Here is a 17,927-nt window from a genome sequence, read left to right on the forward strand (position 1 = left end):
ATTAATTTTTACTAATATAAATGACAGAAGGAAGAAATGAAAAAAGGAAGGACAGACAAACCTTCTTTGCTGAAGAATTCCAAATAATATATGCATATACCCTTTAGGAGGTGGAGTGTAATCAGTATCTCCTTGAGTGTGGGCTAGAATTAGCTACATACATCCAAATAATAGAATATGAAAGAAAAATATATTACCGTAGCAGAGCAGAAGCCCAGCAGATACCACCATACGTAAGTGATCAAAGCTAACATCATCACTAATAAGTAAGGCTGGTTGTATGTACCTCCTGATATGATAAGGGCATATCACCTATTTGGAATTCTTCCCCAAAACTTATAATCTCAGTGTAAGCATGACAAAACATGTGAACAATCTAAACTGGGGGGACATTCTACAAAATACCTGACCGTACTCTTCAAAACTGTCTAGTCATGAGACACAAGGAAAGAGAAACAGTCAGAGATTCTAGGTGACTAACGAGACATTACAACTAAATGCAATGAGTTTAATCTGAAAAAGATCCTGAAACAGAAAAGGTGACAAACTGGAAAAACTGCTGACATCCAAATAAGACCTGTAGTTTAGTTAATAATACTGTATGAATATTGATTTCTTAGTTATGCAAATATGCCAAAGTATGTAGGATGCTAACATTGGAGGAACCTGGGTTAAAAGTATACAAAACTCTCTGTACTATCTTTACAACATTTTTTATACCTATTTTTATACTAAAAAGCAAAACATCCACAATGCTCCAAAATGGGAATAAAATAAGGTGAGATTTGCTTATCACAAAGCTTCTAGAATGCTACAGCAGTTAAGACAGTGTCATTCATTTAAGAAAAACAAAATTGACCAAAGTAACAGAAGAAACAGAGCAGACTACATATAGAAACCCGATCTGCAAGTCAGCTGACTTTGCATTTCACTGGGGAAAACAATGACTATTCAATAAATGATGCTGGCATACTATTGGATACCCTCCTGAAAAACCTCATACCACCAACATAAATAAATTCCAGATAAATAAAGAAAAATTAAAGGCAAAATTTAAATAGCCAAACAGATCAATACAAAAGGAGCAAAAGACATAAGCAGGCATGATAAAAAGGTAATATGAATGGCTGATAATAAATATAAAAATTTCTCAACCTTATTAGTAATCAGAAAAACAAAATAAAACCAATGATAAGGTACAATTTCACACTTACCCATATTACAATTTTTTAAAAGACAGATCAGAAGTTGGTGAGAATGCTGTGCAACAAAAATTTTTGTATATTGTTGGGAAATGTATAAACTGATAATTTTGAAAAAACAATTTAACTCTACCTAGTAAAGCTGAAAATATAAATGTCTTAAAACACTGAAACCATTGTCAGAAAGTCTCAAAGTTTTATTGCTCTTTTGCACAAGGAGAACTGGAAACAAGTCAAACGTTCCTCAAAGCAGAAGACACAAAAAAGGTTGATTATTTCTATGATGAAATATTATACGTCAAAGACAACAAATGATCTAATAAGCTATCTGCCTCAATATGAACTAATTTTTAAAGCATAATTTTTTTAGTTTTGCTTGTTCTGAAACATATGTTAAATCATAAAAGAAAGCACATGGTATTACTCCATTGATACATATTTCAAAACAGCCAAGGAATTAACTATTTTTGTAAGATCACACATAGAGAAATATGTACTTCTTATGAAATTATAGAGAAAATCAGGAGAATGAGTAACAAAATTTAGGACAATGATTATATTTGCAGTGACAAGAAGGTGTAATCAGGAAGGAATATGGGTAGCTGGTGTCACATGGCTCTCTTGGTGTTAACCTGTGGGAACTGGAACTCTAGGAGAAAGCACAAGAAAGTGCTAATAATACTCCAGTGACTGCTACTTTTGTAATGAAGTCCTTTGTCTCTGACCCAGAAGTCTCCTGTCTTCATTAGCATCCACAAAAGGGATAGGATTACTTACTACTTTGCAAGTAGGGCAAAATCTTACACCCCTTGCAATTTTTGACAAGATTATGTTTATATATAAAAAAAGACAAGAGGTGCAGTACAGCATGATGAAAAACTGCCTAAATAGGTGTTAGGAAAAATGGGTTTAGCATTTGTTTAGGTACCAAATCTGAACGAGATCTAGGGCATCTGCTTTACTCCTCTGGTAGTCTTCTAAAGATAATCAGGGTAGCTTCTAGTTCTCAAAGTCTAAAATTATAGATGTAAGGAAAAACAACAACATGAAATGCACAGTCACAGAAAGAACAAATGTGAAGAATATGTAACTATGTAAGTGCTAAAGATAAAAACTGTGATGACAGCAAGTACAAAGTTTATTTCATTTGTACTGAAATATTTATCTGTAATATACCATGAGATGAAAATTCTCTTTTAACTTGTATATCAAAGAGAAAATAAAAAATCCAGTGAAGTTCAAGTAAAATATTTTCATGTTATACAAATGTCATTGAAGTGAAAAATCTTCAGTAAGACCACCCAACCTTGACAAGTGTATTCATATGGGATTTACAGAGTAATATTTGTGTGACATACAGTAGGTGGTCTTTTGCGTGGGTGAAATACTCCAGCTGACTTTGGTTCATGAATGCTTCTAGGATAATTATGACGAATTCCTACCTGGCAAGGCATAACGTTAGCCTAAATATCTAATGCTGCTTTCTGAACTATATTTCTTCTTTGTGATGTAATATTCAAACTTCTTAGTCCTGTGCATGGGTATGTATCCAGGTAATATGTACCTGTGGATAGAACTTTTTCTTTCAGTAGCTTATCATTTATTTTATTGATTTGGCTATGAGGAAGGTCAAATATAAGATTTTTAGCAGTAACCGCAACTTTGGTTTTCTAGCACAACTACAGTCCTTTATACAGCTTTGTATTCTCTAATCCTTATTTTAAATGGTTTTATTCCATGTATGCTTTTTTACCATAAATTATATTAAATAATTTTAGAAGTAGGTAGAAAACAATGACTTTGTATGCACAATGTGTCTTCCGATTTTAAATGAAGACTTCAAATAAAACATAGCTTCAATAAGGCTGGAAATTTCTTAGATCATCAGAAAAATAAAACAAAAGATGTCATTTAAAATCAGATCATCAAAATTAAGCAATTTGAAAGACTTTTAACAGTTGTTACATTGTTGGGATTTCAAGTATGATCACTTACTTGCATATGTCATCTTCTGGGTCTTCAAGCCCAAATCTTTCATCAAACGTAAGTTGTATCCATACATTTTCCTCTACTGCTACTAATCTCCATACCAAGACCGTATTTCTTGGATAAGTATGAGGAAACCTTGGGCTGTGAATACTTCCATTAGTAGACACAGTAATAATTCTCTCATGCTGAGGATCTTGTACTCCTAAAGCAAAAAACATAGACATAGACATACATTTAGATTTCAAAAATTATAGGTATCAAAGCAAGTGTTTATTATTCACACTTTACCTCAGACAAGTGCTGAGTGTGTTTTATATGATATATGCCAAATACCACTCTTTCCAGAACTGATCCAGAAAAAAGATTATTTTATCATTATTGAATAAAAACCTGTTTCATATTTATACTTGAAGGAACATAGCAAATTACTCTTTTAAGGAATTTAATTACTGAAACGTCAACTACAAACTCTTTTGGAGTCCTAAAATCACAATAAAGCTGAGTTAACATTCAAATTTCTGAGAAGTTATCAAATATGAGACATTTTAGAATAAAAATACACTAGATATAATTCTATTTTAAAAAATACAAATAATGATTTTAATTCTCTAACTTAAAGCTGCAGAGCTACAGTCAACTAATTATTCAAAGATTTGCATTAATTTTATATATGGCAAAATAAGAAGGGTATTAAGATATTTGAAGAAAGTGAAATGTGAGGATAAAAGAGGCAGAAGTGGATAGGTAGAAAAGACTGTTTTCAGCTTTTCTCACTGATCTTTGAAATGTCAATTAGCATACCATACGACACACTATTTACAGCTTCTTACCTCTTTTTATTACCATTGCTTTAGGAATTGAGCTGGCAAAATGTTCTTAATAACAGCTCATTATTTGGACCCATAACTTCTGGGAAAAACAAAAAAGGTATGCAATACAAGTTCAGAGCTTCACGTGAACTGGAATTACTAAATAACCTAAATCTTAAATGACTCTGAAAAGTAAAGCAAGATCAAAATAATGGTCTCAATTTCTTGTTATAAGGGATCTATTAGCAGTACATGAAAATATTAAAATATAAAAAATGTTGCAGCACTTCTCAATGCATGAATACACAAATATGAATTCTAAATCTCCAAGGGCAGAGTATAGTACAAAATGGCTTCCAAGTTTATTAGGCAAGGTACCTTTTCACATTTATGAAATGCTAAAATATACTGTTAATAATATCTCTCCTCCTTTTTATTAAAATGTTGGGGAGAGAATTGAGAGAAAGGGCAAGTTGGCACTGCTGAGAAAGGAAGTATTCCTATACCCAACCAGTTGAGAGTTAATAATGAGACGAAACCCACAATTGATAAGTTATAAAATAAGCAGTCATTGAACCACTCCAAAAAATGTAAGAACTAGGCTAGTTATAGGCTCCAGGCCATAAAAATCCATGTAAGGACCATCGCGGTGGCTCACGCCTGTAATCCCAGCACTTTGGGAGGCCGAGGCGGGTGGATCACGAGGTCAGGAGATCGAGACCACGGTGAAATCCCGTCTCTACTAAAAATACAAAAAATTAGCGGGGTGCAGGGGCGGGCGCCTGTAGTCCCTGCTACTCCGGAGGCTGAGGCAGGAGAATGGTGTGAACCCAGAAGGCGGAGCTTGCAGTGAGGGGAGATCCCGCCACTGCACTCCAGCCTGGGCGACAGAATGAGACTCCATCTCAAAAAAAAAAAAAAAAAAAAAAAAAAATCCGTGTAAGGATGCTAACTTCCAATGAGAAAAACAACAACAACAGCAACAACAACAAAAACTTTTAAATATCCCTTATTGAATTTCTAATACTATTTTATTTTAAAAAAAGTAAAAGCCTTAGACTGGACATTGAACACATGAAGTGATATGCATGGTAGGATATCTGACAATTATATAGTGCAACTTTTATATACTCATAATATCACAACAGTCTTTAGCAATGCCTCATTGGTATTCATAATTTGGAGATATGCTGCACAACACTGAACACTGTATTTGCAGTAACATCATGGAGAGATTACTCTCCAAAATAAGGTAAGTATCATTGTATTCACTGCCTTTTGGATATGTGCCATCAAGCTGTGTAACAGAGTTTACTAAGTCCTATGAAATGACGACATTTCAGATTAAACCCTACATGTTTCTTCTTTCTTCCTTTTGTCTTGGTATTATAGCTTTCTGCCATTTCCTCTTCTTCATTTATTTTACTTCCAGAAACCTAAGTCCCTTTCCACCAACCTATTCTCTGTCTCTCTACTCAATATCTTAAAGTCTGTATCTTCTTTTATCTTCGCACTAGTGATCTCACTTCCTTTATGATAGGTAGAATTCTAAAATGATCTCCAATTGTCCCTCATCCTTTCATAATCCTCTCCTTGAGTGTGTGAAATCTAATGGGATATTACTCCCATGATTAGGTTAGTTGACTTTGAGTTAATCATATTTGGGTGGGTCTAACTTTATCAAGTGAGCCCACAAGATAAACTGGGTCCTTCCTAAACCCAGAGAAATTTCAAAGTGTGAGAGATACTTCAACAGGAGGGTGATTCTTTATTTCTGGCTTTGAAAATGCAGGAAGCCATGTGCCAATGGATGTGGGAAGCCTCTAGAAGCTGAGAACAGTCTAAGGATGACAGCCAGCAAGGAAATGAACAACTCAGTTCTGAAAGATTGAGGACCCTGGTCAGCTTGGAAGCAGACTGTTCTCTACAGCCTCCAGAAAGGAGTCTAGTCTGGTGGACACCTTCATCTGAATCTTCTAAGACCCTGAACAAGAATTCAGTCACGTGGTGCCTGGAATCCTAACTGACAGAACTGAAGTTGATAAAGGATATTTTAAACTGCTAAATTTGTAGAAATTTCTTACATAATATTAGAAAACTAATACACCTTCTATCGCACACAAAGCTGTTTGAATTATGGGTATTTCTTTTTGCTCACAATTGTCAGCACTAATTGCAGTAACTGCAGCTACTTTTCATTTAGTATTTATGTTAATCAAAATATGTTAACATTATTTCACATTAATAAAATACAATTTAAGAATGTTGCTCTAGGAAACTTCCTGAAAGACACAATGTGAAGGGTTGTATATTAGTTAGACTATGACTAAGGTTAAAGGACAACCTGTTTAATCCTAAACTACCCCAAATAATTGTAACGTTTTTATTTATGAGATATAATTAAATAACTGAATGCTACCAATCTTCTCAGTGCTAAAATTTTTCCTCAGCAGTAAGCACCCTATACAGAACATGTTTCCTCTTAATAGATGCTAATATTTGATACTGCTATTGGCTGTAATAATATATATAAAATAATTAACGCCTTTTCTACGCATATTATTTAGCACCAGTGTATCTCCTAAGAATACAGAAGGAACTATAAAGTTAGATGAATTCTCCACATAGACAAATTTTATTAAGAAAATAATGCTCGGCCCAGGCACTGTGGCTCCTGTCTGTAATCCCAGCATTTTGGGAGATCAAGGCAGGTGGATCCCTTAAGCTCAAGAGTTTGAGACCAGCTTGGGCAACATGGTGAAACCTTGTCTCTAGAAAAAATAACAAAAATTAGCTGGACATGGTGGCATGTGCCTTCAGTCCCAGCTACTTGGGAGGCTGAAGTGGAAGGATCGCTTAAGCCCAGGAGGTTGAGGCTGCAGTGAGCTGTGATGGCACCACTGCACTCCAGCCTTGGTGACAGAGCAAGACCTTGCCTCAAAAATAAAAAAGCAAAACATTAAAAAGAAAGTAATAATCATAAACTCTTGAAAAGTAAATTCATTAACTATTTTCAAATATTTCTTTCAAAAATGAGTTTCTCCCTATTGTCCAAAGTTTCTTCCGATAATCTACATATTTCAGAGGTACTTATAGTAATTTATAAAAATAATCCTTCTCATTTTGGCAACTAGTATTCTCAATGAATTATTTTTTCCCATCAGATTTATTAAAACCTAGCATCTACCCTATTTTGCTTCAAAACAAATGCCTTTTATCCAAGGCACTCATTACAAATATAGCAGTGTGTGGCATATAATTGAGAAAACTACATAGCTATTAAAAGATCTGAATTCTATTTTTATATCTTCAGTCATAAAGCGCATGGCTAAAATATATATACTTAAGTTTGTGTTTACATTTTTTCCTTTATAATTCACTATTAAATTGGACTATATTTAAACATAATTTAAAGACTGAAAATCTGGGCCTTATTTGTGGTTAAAAAAAAATTGTAAATTTTCTTTTAAGTTAAATTACTGCTCCCAAAAAATTCACCTTGAAATGCAAGGAGGTTTGCCACCAAACACTTATGATTTGCAGATGACTGTCAAAGTTTTATGTAAATCTCAAGCAACTAGGCCTATAATCAGAAGAAGAAAGAAAAAGAAGCAACAAACATTAAGTTTACCAAATTAAGACACTGTGCTTATATTCTGTTGTTTTAACAGTCATTTTTTTGAACATATAACTTTACTAGTATTTTAGGGATGAGAAAAGTACCCACTTGAGAATATTTTATTGAACATTTGCTTTTCCTATATCCAACAGACAGTATACTCAAATTACCAAACAAAAAAAAAGTTTATAGTCAAATCACTAAAATATTTATCACATGATCCTTGCACACTTAACAAGAATCAATCTTGTATATCTTAGATAACGAGCTTGACATGAAAAATGAAAATATGTATAAATACTACATTTTAAAAATTATAGACAATTTCAGATTACCATACCCAACTCCTCTTAAGGTAGAGGTACTGGAAACTAAAATGAATAAAAAATTTAAAAAAGGAAAAGAAGAGAGACTAATAATGTAAATACTGTAAAACTGTTGACTATATGTGTATATATACAATTCAGTTATATAGAATCACTATATATCTGTAAGTAGTCAGTTTAGCACTTAAAATCAAAGCAATTCTATAATGTTTACCATGCATTACATACTCTTGGTTCCTTTAAAAAAATATTTATTATGGGTGAAAGAAGGTGGTAGTAAGAGAATCATAAAATGCAATTCAAATTATAATCCTTCAAAATGCTACATTATTAATAAAGATAACACTAACGAGGAAGTTTCTGGATAATATGCAACTCCTAAAAATCATCCATGTCTTTATGCTAATGTTTTAAGTTGATTTTAGCAGAAAAGAAATGGTAGATTAAAATTAGGTAGAAAGAAGTAGGTCTTGAATCTTGGTTTAGTTTGGCAGTTGTGGATTCTGCTCCTCTGTTTCATGTAGGCACGACTGTAGCAACATGTCACCAGTAAACAGATCGGCCTCACGGATGTCCTGTGACATTTTGGATGTATTTGCTTGCAAATATGTGTTATTTTCAAACTATGTAAAAATGCATTTCTCTTAGAGTGAGATGCATGTATTCCCCATTCTCACTCTATAAATTGATAATACACACATTCACCCATTTAATTTGTGCTTTGCTATGCTCACTGTTTTTTTCACCTGTGATAATTTTTCTACATCCTAATGTTGCTAGTTTGTGGATATAGCTATTTCTGCATCTGCTTTCAATCTCCTTAATTCTCAACTAACAAAATTCACTTTTAACAACTGTTAGTTAAAATCATTGACATATATACACATATAGTTTCACTGGCTCCATGAGCTGGTGTGTTTTTGCCTAGGAAATGCAGAGTAATTTCATCCTAATCTTATTTGATTCTGTAGAGAGAAGGTATACTTGAGGTCCACAGAGCAAACAAATCTCTCTCCATCAATTGCAAACTATATAGAATTACTCCATTTACATGCTTAATATTTTAAATTCTATTAATATAAAAGTATAATGATGGGCTAGAGGGAAAAGAGACTCTAGTTTCTGCTTTATCATCATTTCCCATATCTTTAAGACAAATAGCACAATAAAACAACAAAGCTAGTGTTGGTTACCTCCAACTATTCCAATTACACAAATAAATATTCACTAAGGAAAAGTAAAAAAAGTGATTGCTATATTCAGTAAACCACGGAACTACTACAATTATTTAGAATATGTCCAGTTGTGGCTCCTGAGCTTATCCCAGAAGACAGTTAATCACTTTATTCCTGAAGTTAAGAAATAACCAAAAATTATATAATGAGAACCTATTATGTTTCAAGTACTTCTACAGGTGCTTAAAAATAAAGTCCTGTCCTCTTCATGCGATAACCTCTAGGGTTGTAATTTGGTTTCATTCCTGGACCAGCTATACTAGTAAACGAGCCAGTTTCAGATGTTACCTCTTTTGGAAGGCAATAGCTGATTCCTGGTGTACACTCCCTTTAGGAGTGAATATTTTAATCATAATTATGGATTCACTTTTCTACCACACTACAATTCCTAGAAGGTCAGCTGTATTTACTGAAGCCCATAACCTGTTCCTGGCACATGGCAGCACCTAATACCTATTGATACTCTAAAGAAACTTGAGATTATACAAACGTGGCAGAAAACAATTTTACATATCACTTCAACAATTCATCCTTCACTCCTGAACTTCCAGACGCTGTATATGATAAAGATAATATGATTTACAATTTATAGACCCTAATAAAGTCCCTTAGTTTACATTTGATGTCTTACTCAAAGTTCATCCGTAATAACCTACAAACATATTTCAGCAGAAAGTGATAGGACTTAGAGTATGCATTATTGAGATCTGCCATTTTCTTAATATACCTACTTATTTTGAAAATAGAACACATTTTATAATGTACCACACCTTGGGAATGCCACAGTTGTAGTCATTATTTTATCTAAACTGTAAAATATGATCTATTTGATAATAAAATCTGTTATTTTAGGCAAGCCACTTGATATCTGAGGGTTTTTTTTTTTTGATAAACTGGAGATAATCACAGGTTGATTTAAAGTTCAAATGAAATGATATTTGTATAAAAGAATTACTAATCAGTATATAAGTAAATGGAAGAACACTGGCCATCATATTCTGTTTAACTCAAATAGAATAAGAGAGAAAATTTACCCACACATACTAGGTTTCCTGATGTCATCAAAAAGAAGACATATGTAAGATATAACACATCATTGGTCATCTGTATAAGCCTTCTGATTTTACGAACATCAAATTGATTAAGCAAGAAGCAGTGATTTTTAGATAGTGATTTCAAATTTCTGATTTACTTCTACAGCTTAATTAAAGAAGGAGGAAAAGGAGCAACTTTGTAGAAATTTTACCATTTCTTTGACTTGATGCTGTCTTTAAAAAACACTTTGAAGTTCTCATGAATCTAATAAGAAGTACAGGAACTCAACCACCAGCCTCTTGTCCATGAGCTTTGGTAAGAAATGGGGGCCTGTGTTCAGGAAGTACACAACAAAGCTTCCACATGCAATGAAGGAATGTTAATATAGCGAGCATCTTCTCATCATCCCTCAACACCACAATGAAGTAGCCACTGAATAAAGGTCGAACTGACCCTAGCCAGAAGTATTCCTAGAAAATCAATATAAGCCCATTCAGATAGGCCAATCAGAGTAAATACAATGGCTTTTTCCGAAAAGTTGGGGACAAGACAATTTCGGGTATGGAAGTGAGATTTCGAACTCCTGCACCCATTTAGCCATCATAATGGATTCTAGCCTAATGAAAAAGTTGATGCACAAAAGTGGGCAGATGTACGGTAGTATTGAAAAATGCAGCTAGATCCGATCTCAAATAACACAATAAAATCACTGCAACTCTAGGTTTCTCAGTGTTGTGAATAAATAAACAACTTTTATTATTAAGCCAATAAGAGTTAGAACTTTCTATACTTACAGCCAAAATAATTATACAGTGAATATATGTTTGGGTTTACCTGGAATAGCCTTATTTAAGTCTGTTATCCTGGTGCGATTATTATTATGCGTGCCACTATTTCTGCCCTTGAAAATATCCCAATTTGCATCATAAAAGACTCAGCAGAGAGGATCTATAAAATTTTTCTGGCACTGAAGCATGTGATATAGAAATGTTAATGATTTGACAACATGGCATTTTTGCCTTAAGGTAATGGTAAAAAATAATCTTATTTTTGTTCTATACAATGGGATATGACGTTTTAAAATGAAGGCTCAATTATGGAAGAAAAATAAGCAATAATCTTCTTACCTATTATGAAATAGGATAAATGGCCAAGTATATACACACAGAATCTCCTCAAAGCCTTTATTACATACCAATTAGTAATGAATATAATTGCATACACACACAATTGCACACCCCACTTAGTGAAACATGTTTGGCAATACTATAAGTTTTTTACTCTGTTAAATTGTACATTAAAGAGACCAAAACCAGAATGTGGAAGAAAAAAAATTAGGAGTAATTCATATTACAAAAGAAGCATTCACCTTAAAGGTTCACTATTGATTTTTTAAATATGTAATCAACTCTCTTATTGAATTAAAATTAGAAAGTTCACATAAAATATTAGGCACTCTAAAATATTTGAAGCAGAATAATACATTTACACCTAATAATACTGTTGTGGCAAAAACTGGCTAACGTGGTTAACCACAAATTCACATTATATATCCTTTAAACAAACAACTTTAAGGAAAATATTTTCAATAAAGAATTTCATCTGTTTTGGAGATTAAGCATCTGTTAATTTTCTACCTGTGTTGGACATATAATTTACAACATTCAGAGCAGAATTTACAAGCAATTTAAAATATGGAAAGTAGCTACCTATTACTTTGTGAGCATACAACATCTAGATAAAGTACTGACATTTTGACAGGAAGATGTTTAAAATTTACCAATGAAAGTAACAACAAAAAGATAACCAAAACAAATTTACTATTTCATAGAAAAAATGCAAATAAGCCCATCAGTTTATGCTTTTAATGAATATTTAAAAGATACTTAAAATTCTCTTTTTAAGCTCTGAATTGAGCAAAACAAATGAATTTTAAAAAATAAGAAAATAGAAACATATTCATTTTAGTCTTACTATATTCAGATTAATATATTAATGCTGAAAATGAGTTTACTGCTTCCTGTTCCATTTAGCATTTTAGCTTCAAAAGTGAATGTATATAATGTATACATGATGAACCTATGATTTTCTTAGGAATGCTAATTGAGGGCAAGAAAAATACTAAATTTGGTCACTTCTATACAAATCATGTCCTTCTATCTTATGTGATTAAATAATGTCAATAAGTGCTAAAGTGTTTACAATTGCATACATGATATTTGAAATTTGGAAGTTATATTTGTAGCAAGATGTTTGGTTTCAGCAGTAATTCCACATAACTCTATCAGGTATAAATAAAGGGCAATTATCCTAGGACATGATTGCCCCTCAAAGGCTAAGTTTAAACAAAATATGCTCGTGAACATCCTATCCATTCAGCCCTGCTAGAAAAATTACCTCCCTACCCCACACTCCCAACCTGTAACAATTTTTGTCAATCTTAAAGTGATGTAAAAATACGAAAAATATAAACATTAGGTTTTTAAAGAAATTAAAACCATAAATTAATAAGAAAGCTTGGATAGTTTGTGGGAAGACGGGTTGCTTAAATTTTATTTCTCAAAGCAAAGACATTTTTAATACCAATGAGAATACCCAATTGTGCTGTTATTCCACCTCAGTGCACATTATTTTTATCATCTAGCTGGCCTATAAAAAAAAAGAGTGAAAAGCTTAAACATGAAGATTTTAAGTATCCTTTATTCTAGAATTGGCTTGACTGTAACAACTAGCAAAATTCTTCAGCAACAGCTAGCTTTATGACAACAGCTTTCAAACTGATCTGAAGATCAAGGGACAGTGGTACTAAAAGAGGAGTTGAGACAGAATGGAATAAATTTGAGAAGACATATGCTTTTATTCAAAATAGAGACTGAACTGACTTTATGAGGCTCACCAAAATTCTGTTAGCAAGGTGAGATTATTCTCTAACACCCCATTATCACTAGTTCCTTCAACATTATTGAAAAATACCTACTTCCTTGTCTTCTGATCTCAGGGCCAACTTTGAAGAGTTATCTGTCAGACTGGACATTGTCAGATGCCACAAGAAGATCTGAGTGTCCTCCTTTATGGCATTTGCACTGTTTATGTGAGTGTAATCCCCTACCCAGCAAATGGACCGGCTGCATTCACGACCTTCGAGCAAGTGAACAGACATGTTGGAATACCATTTCCTTGACAATTCTTTTCCATGAAATCTAATTCTGTAGTTGAAAATTCTCCACTATGTTCCTTATAAATCCATCTATCCCTCTAAAAGAAATGTACCACTATCTAAAGAAAGAAAGCAAAGATATGAACAAACACCTGACACGGGGCGCGGAGGAGAAAACTAATTGGGAAAAAAAAATGCACAAATTATACTTATTTAATTGCAGCAATAGTAATAATACTAATTATCTTGACAAATGTCTTTTACTTCTTTTCTCAAGTGTAGATATGGCTTTTTAAAGAAAGATATGCATAATGCATAATGTAAGACTTAAAATATGAAACTATTTAAAATATATGATTTAAACTTAAAGATCTATTACTGCACAACCACATAAACCCTCAAAGCATTTTTTATAGCAGTTATCATACTGCAACTTTTGATCATAGTGAAAAGTAAACCAAGGAAATTTCAAGATTTTTGAGGGAAAAGCAAAGTATCAATTTTAAAAAGAACTGATGTAATTATTACTGGTCAATTAACAGGAAACTTATTTAGTTCTTTCTGCCCAATTAAAATAATTATAAACAGACAATGAAAAAATATAAGAAACAACAGAATAATAAATTCAACTTTGAGAAACATACTTCTACTCTTTCTAAATGATGGTAATAAAAATAATTTGCCAGGTAAAACTATCTCTAACATGTCAGAGAATATACAGAAGTGGGAATGTAGACATTTTTGCGGTTTAAAGATTATTAGGAGTATGAGTGAAAACAGTAAGAGGGCATTGGAATGACTACATGGAAACTTACTAAGTGCAAAGACAGAAAGTACTCCCATTATGAAAGGAAGGCATTCACATTCACACTTGCTCATGTTGAAGAATCAGATAAGAGTATTGTACTACCTAAACAAATTCTCTTGCTCTAATATGGTTCATTGTATCAAGCTTAATTACATGAAAGTACAACAGTTTCTGATAAGAAAAGCTTAAAAACTCAGAGTAAATAAAAATATACGTTTTGCTTACCTTTTAAATGTTCTTTCTCCTCTTTTCTATGCCAGTCCAGATGCTTGGATATAGTTCCTACCTGCCAGTAGATGGAGATAGTAAAATTGAGTCTTTTGGTGACCTCAAATCCTAATCTAGGTGGTTCAGAATCTTCAATTTCAGATTTTGGAAGTTAAAAAAATTTGAAGGATTGGAAAGACACATAAGCTTGTAAAAATGACTATCTGAGTCAGTCAATGAACTTTTATTCATGGACATTTGTACTAATCTTTAAGGGAGCGGGTCTTGGCTGGCATAGAAAAAAATAAAAGAAAGAGCATTATTTGGAATAAAAGAAAGAGCATTATTTATTCCCTTGACTCTTCATTCTTCCCAGATCTTGCTCATTAACTCAACTAATAGCTATTGAGTATCTACTCAAAATTGCAGGTTACTAGCCAGATACTTTCATATACATTATCTTTTAATGCTTTTAGTAACCCTGCAAAGTAGCAATTATTATCCCTTAATATCTTGTCCCAGAAACTACATATTTAAAAGTTCCATATGGTAAGGTGACTCTTGCTTGCCAAGGTTTTGTAGTCCTCCCGATGGTGAGTTAAAGACTTCTCAGATTTAGGCAGAATAAGTTTCTTCTTGCTATTGATAAAGGGACCTTGAAGTTAGAAATTCATTTGCTAGTGTAAAAATTGGTTTTGTTTTCTTTTGTTTCAAATTAATACAAATCCTCCAATAGCTTTCCAGGAAGAAATTTTAAAAGCAAAGGTGCAACCATTTTATAGAAATAAAATAAATCCTCTGAAATAAAACAGGATTCATGAATAGAGCTGCACAGAAGTGTTTGACAATTGCACACTTAAGATCAAATTAATAGGGAAGAACATTAACATCTGTGACTGCTGATAATGACTTACAGAAATAATAAAATTATTTTCATTTTCAAAGCTAATAGAAAGGCATGAGGTACCTCTTGAAGATGATAAAGAGAATAAACTGAAGAACATTCAAAATTGAACACTGATGAAACTACAAAATAATTCTTCCATTTTCTCAGTTTAGTAAACCCATTGAATTTTAATTCAATGAAATATATCTCTTATCAAAGGCAAAGTCAAAGTTTTAATATTGCTTGTTGCCATGGTCTGTGAGTTGATTTCAACACAACACACTTTCAGAGAATGGACATTACACAAATAATCCAAAAAACACCAATGTTAATTGTTTAAGAGTGATATGATAAAAATAAAACTACTCTATTTTATAGTCACCTTAATCACTTTGCCCAAATGAATACAAACATCTTTATCTCTCTCTCTTTTTTTTTTTTTGGTCACCCAGGCTGAGTGTAGTCTCTGCTCACTGCAACCTCTGCTGCCTGGGTTCAAGCAATTCTCCTGCCTCAACCTCTGTAGTAGCTGGGATTACAGGCACCTGCCACCGCGCCTGGCCAATTTTTGTAGTTTTAGTAGAGACGGGGTATCACCATCTTGGCCAGGCTGGTCTTGAACTCCTGACCTCATGATCCATCCACCTCAGCCTCCCAAAGTACTTGGATTATAGGCCTGAGCCACCACAACCGGCCTATGTATCTCTTTATAGTTCTTACAATGATTTTCCGATTACAAAAAACCTTCTCATACATAAGTTTTTACCAGCTAAAACAACAAATAAAAACTAATTGTATCATGCACACTTAATTATTATGAAAACAGAATTAGTTGTCACAATAAATAAGGGTCATCATATAATATCTTGTCTAAACAATACATTTTTGAGAATAAAAGAGAGTGATGTTATTAATTATGTCAGACAAACAGACATAAACTGTGAATATCCCCAGAAAAACTGGACACTATAATTTTCCTAATGACAACATAAACCTTCAATACAAATCTTTTGAGTCTAAATACTATTTTCTTTCCACTATATTACACTACTCCAGGAAAATTTTCAACCTGGATGTTTGTGTGATTAATTCACAAGTGTATATTTTCCTATTGCCTCTTTATTCAACTCAGCCCACTGAGTGTAACTTTTTCTTTGTTTTCGTAAACTTGGCAATAGCTGTTATATTTACAGTACTTTATCTTAAAATAGGTAAAACAACAAAAACAGTAACAATCCTAATAACTTTAATAACTAATATGATCCAATAACAGTTTTACTGCTTTTCAGTGGGTTATTTGTGGGGTGTTTCTAATATTACCAATGAAGTAAGAGACATCTTTACCAATTATTAATGATTTGCTGGATTCTGGCTTCACTCCACTGCTTGAATCAGTAGGGTTAACATTAATTCTACTTCAGATTATAAATACCGTTCCCGAATTTGATACTCTTAAAAAGTGGTAAATTTCATATTAACTTAGAGAAGACAAGAGATCATTCCAAATGTGTTCACTGATGAGGGTTAAAAATATGAAAAACTGAATCTTCATTAAAGTACACATTTCATATCCCTCACAATGAATTCAATTTTCACACATATATTCATTTAATTATTTGATTACTTAGTTTTTAAAGTATCTGCGCATAATTTAATTAATAAAATCACTTTTTTTGCCAAAGCTTCTGTTTGTTTCTTGTTTTTTTTGTTGTTGTTGTTTTGGTTTGGTTTAGTTCATTTGTTTGTTTTAACTACTGTATCTCCTAACACATAGCACAGTGCCTCACACATAATAGACATTCAATAAATATTTGCTGACTGGCTAAACTGCCTAAGAAAAAAGTTTATATTTCACCTGCAAACATATTTACAAATAAAATTTGGTGGATAAAAAGGGTAATGTAAGGGTTGGTTTCTGAACTACCATTGCTTACTGAAGGCCACTGTGTTAAGAACTGACTGAGATCCCCCATATTCTACAAAAAGACACCAGCAACTGATTACCGTGTCATAAAATCTGTTTCTATGGAATAGAGTTATATTAAATTCATACTTGGAATTAATTCACCATGATATATGAGATCCCTGAAATAAAACTAGCAACTTCAAAAAAGTATCATATACATGAAGAAATTATTTTTTCCTTTCTGAAGTCAAAAGTCAAATATTGTTTTAAAAATAAAATGCCATTTTCTTGGCTTGACTTGGGAAAAACGTGTATACTAATCATTAACAAATTTGATATTTTTCTCTTCACAATTCCCCTCCTCACCACAATTCCAAGATGAAAACTTTTTTTAGATGGCCTTTTTCTGTGCTGGATGTGGGGTTTGAAAGGTAATGTTTAGAACTGATATTCTGGTGTGGTACGGCAGTACAATATAGTAGCACCATTATGATAAAGAGCATGCCAGTAAGGATGACCCAGACAGAAGAATATAATGATGAAGAAAGTTTTGAGACAAAAACAAACCTTAACATGATTTGCTAAATAATGTCTATAATCCTCTGTTCCTTTATAATTGCTCCAATTATAAAACTAGCCTTCAAAATTCCTCAAGTATGTTAAACTTCTGAACCAACTACTTAAAAACCAAAGTTACGTTTGATCCTTTTAAACCAATGGCTTGAGAAAGTTTTGAGAATCTGATGAA

The 17,927-nt window shown here is 32.8% G+C and overlaps 1 protein-coding gene across 7 annotated transcripts in view; it reads right to left on the bottom strand.

Moving 5' to 3' along the window:
- The window catches only part of PDGFC (platelet derived growth factor C), a 211,346-nt gene that overhangs the window by 86,570 nt on the left and 106,849 nt on the right, over nucleotides 1–17,927 (bottom strand). For 4 of the 7 annotated variants that reach the window (NR_036641.2, XM_047415970.1, XM_047415969.1 and 1 more), the window contains 2 exons: nucleotides 14,406–14,466; nucleotides 3,198–3,393 (listed from right to left, as the gene is read on the bottom strand). Coding sequence is in view for 3 of the 7 variants with exons in the window: in XM_047415969.1 (XP_047271925.1) it covers nucleotides 3,198–3,393; nucleotides 14,406–14,466 (257 nt within the window). In the remaining 4 variants the exon portion in view is untranslated. The remainder of the gene's footprint in view (nucleotides 1–3,197; nucleotides 3,394–14,405; nucleotides 14,467–17,927) is intronic. The other 3 variants (NM_016205.3, XM_017008455.2, XM_047415972.1) reach the window with 1 other exon arrangement.

Source organism: Homo sapiens, chromosome 4 (genome assembly GCF_000001405.40).
Source record: "Homo sapiens chromosome 4, GRCh38.p14 Primary Assembly".
Classification (NCBI taxonomy): domain Eukaryota; kingdom Metazoa; phylum Chordata; class Mammalia; order Primates; family Hominidae; genus Homo; species Homo sapiens.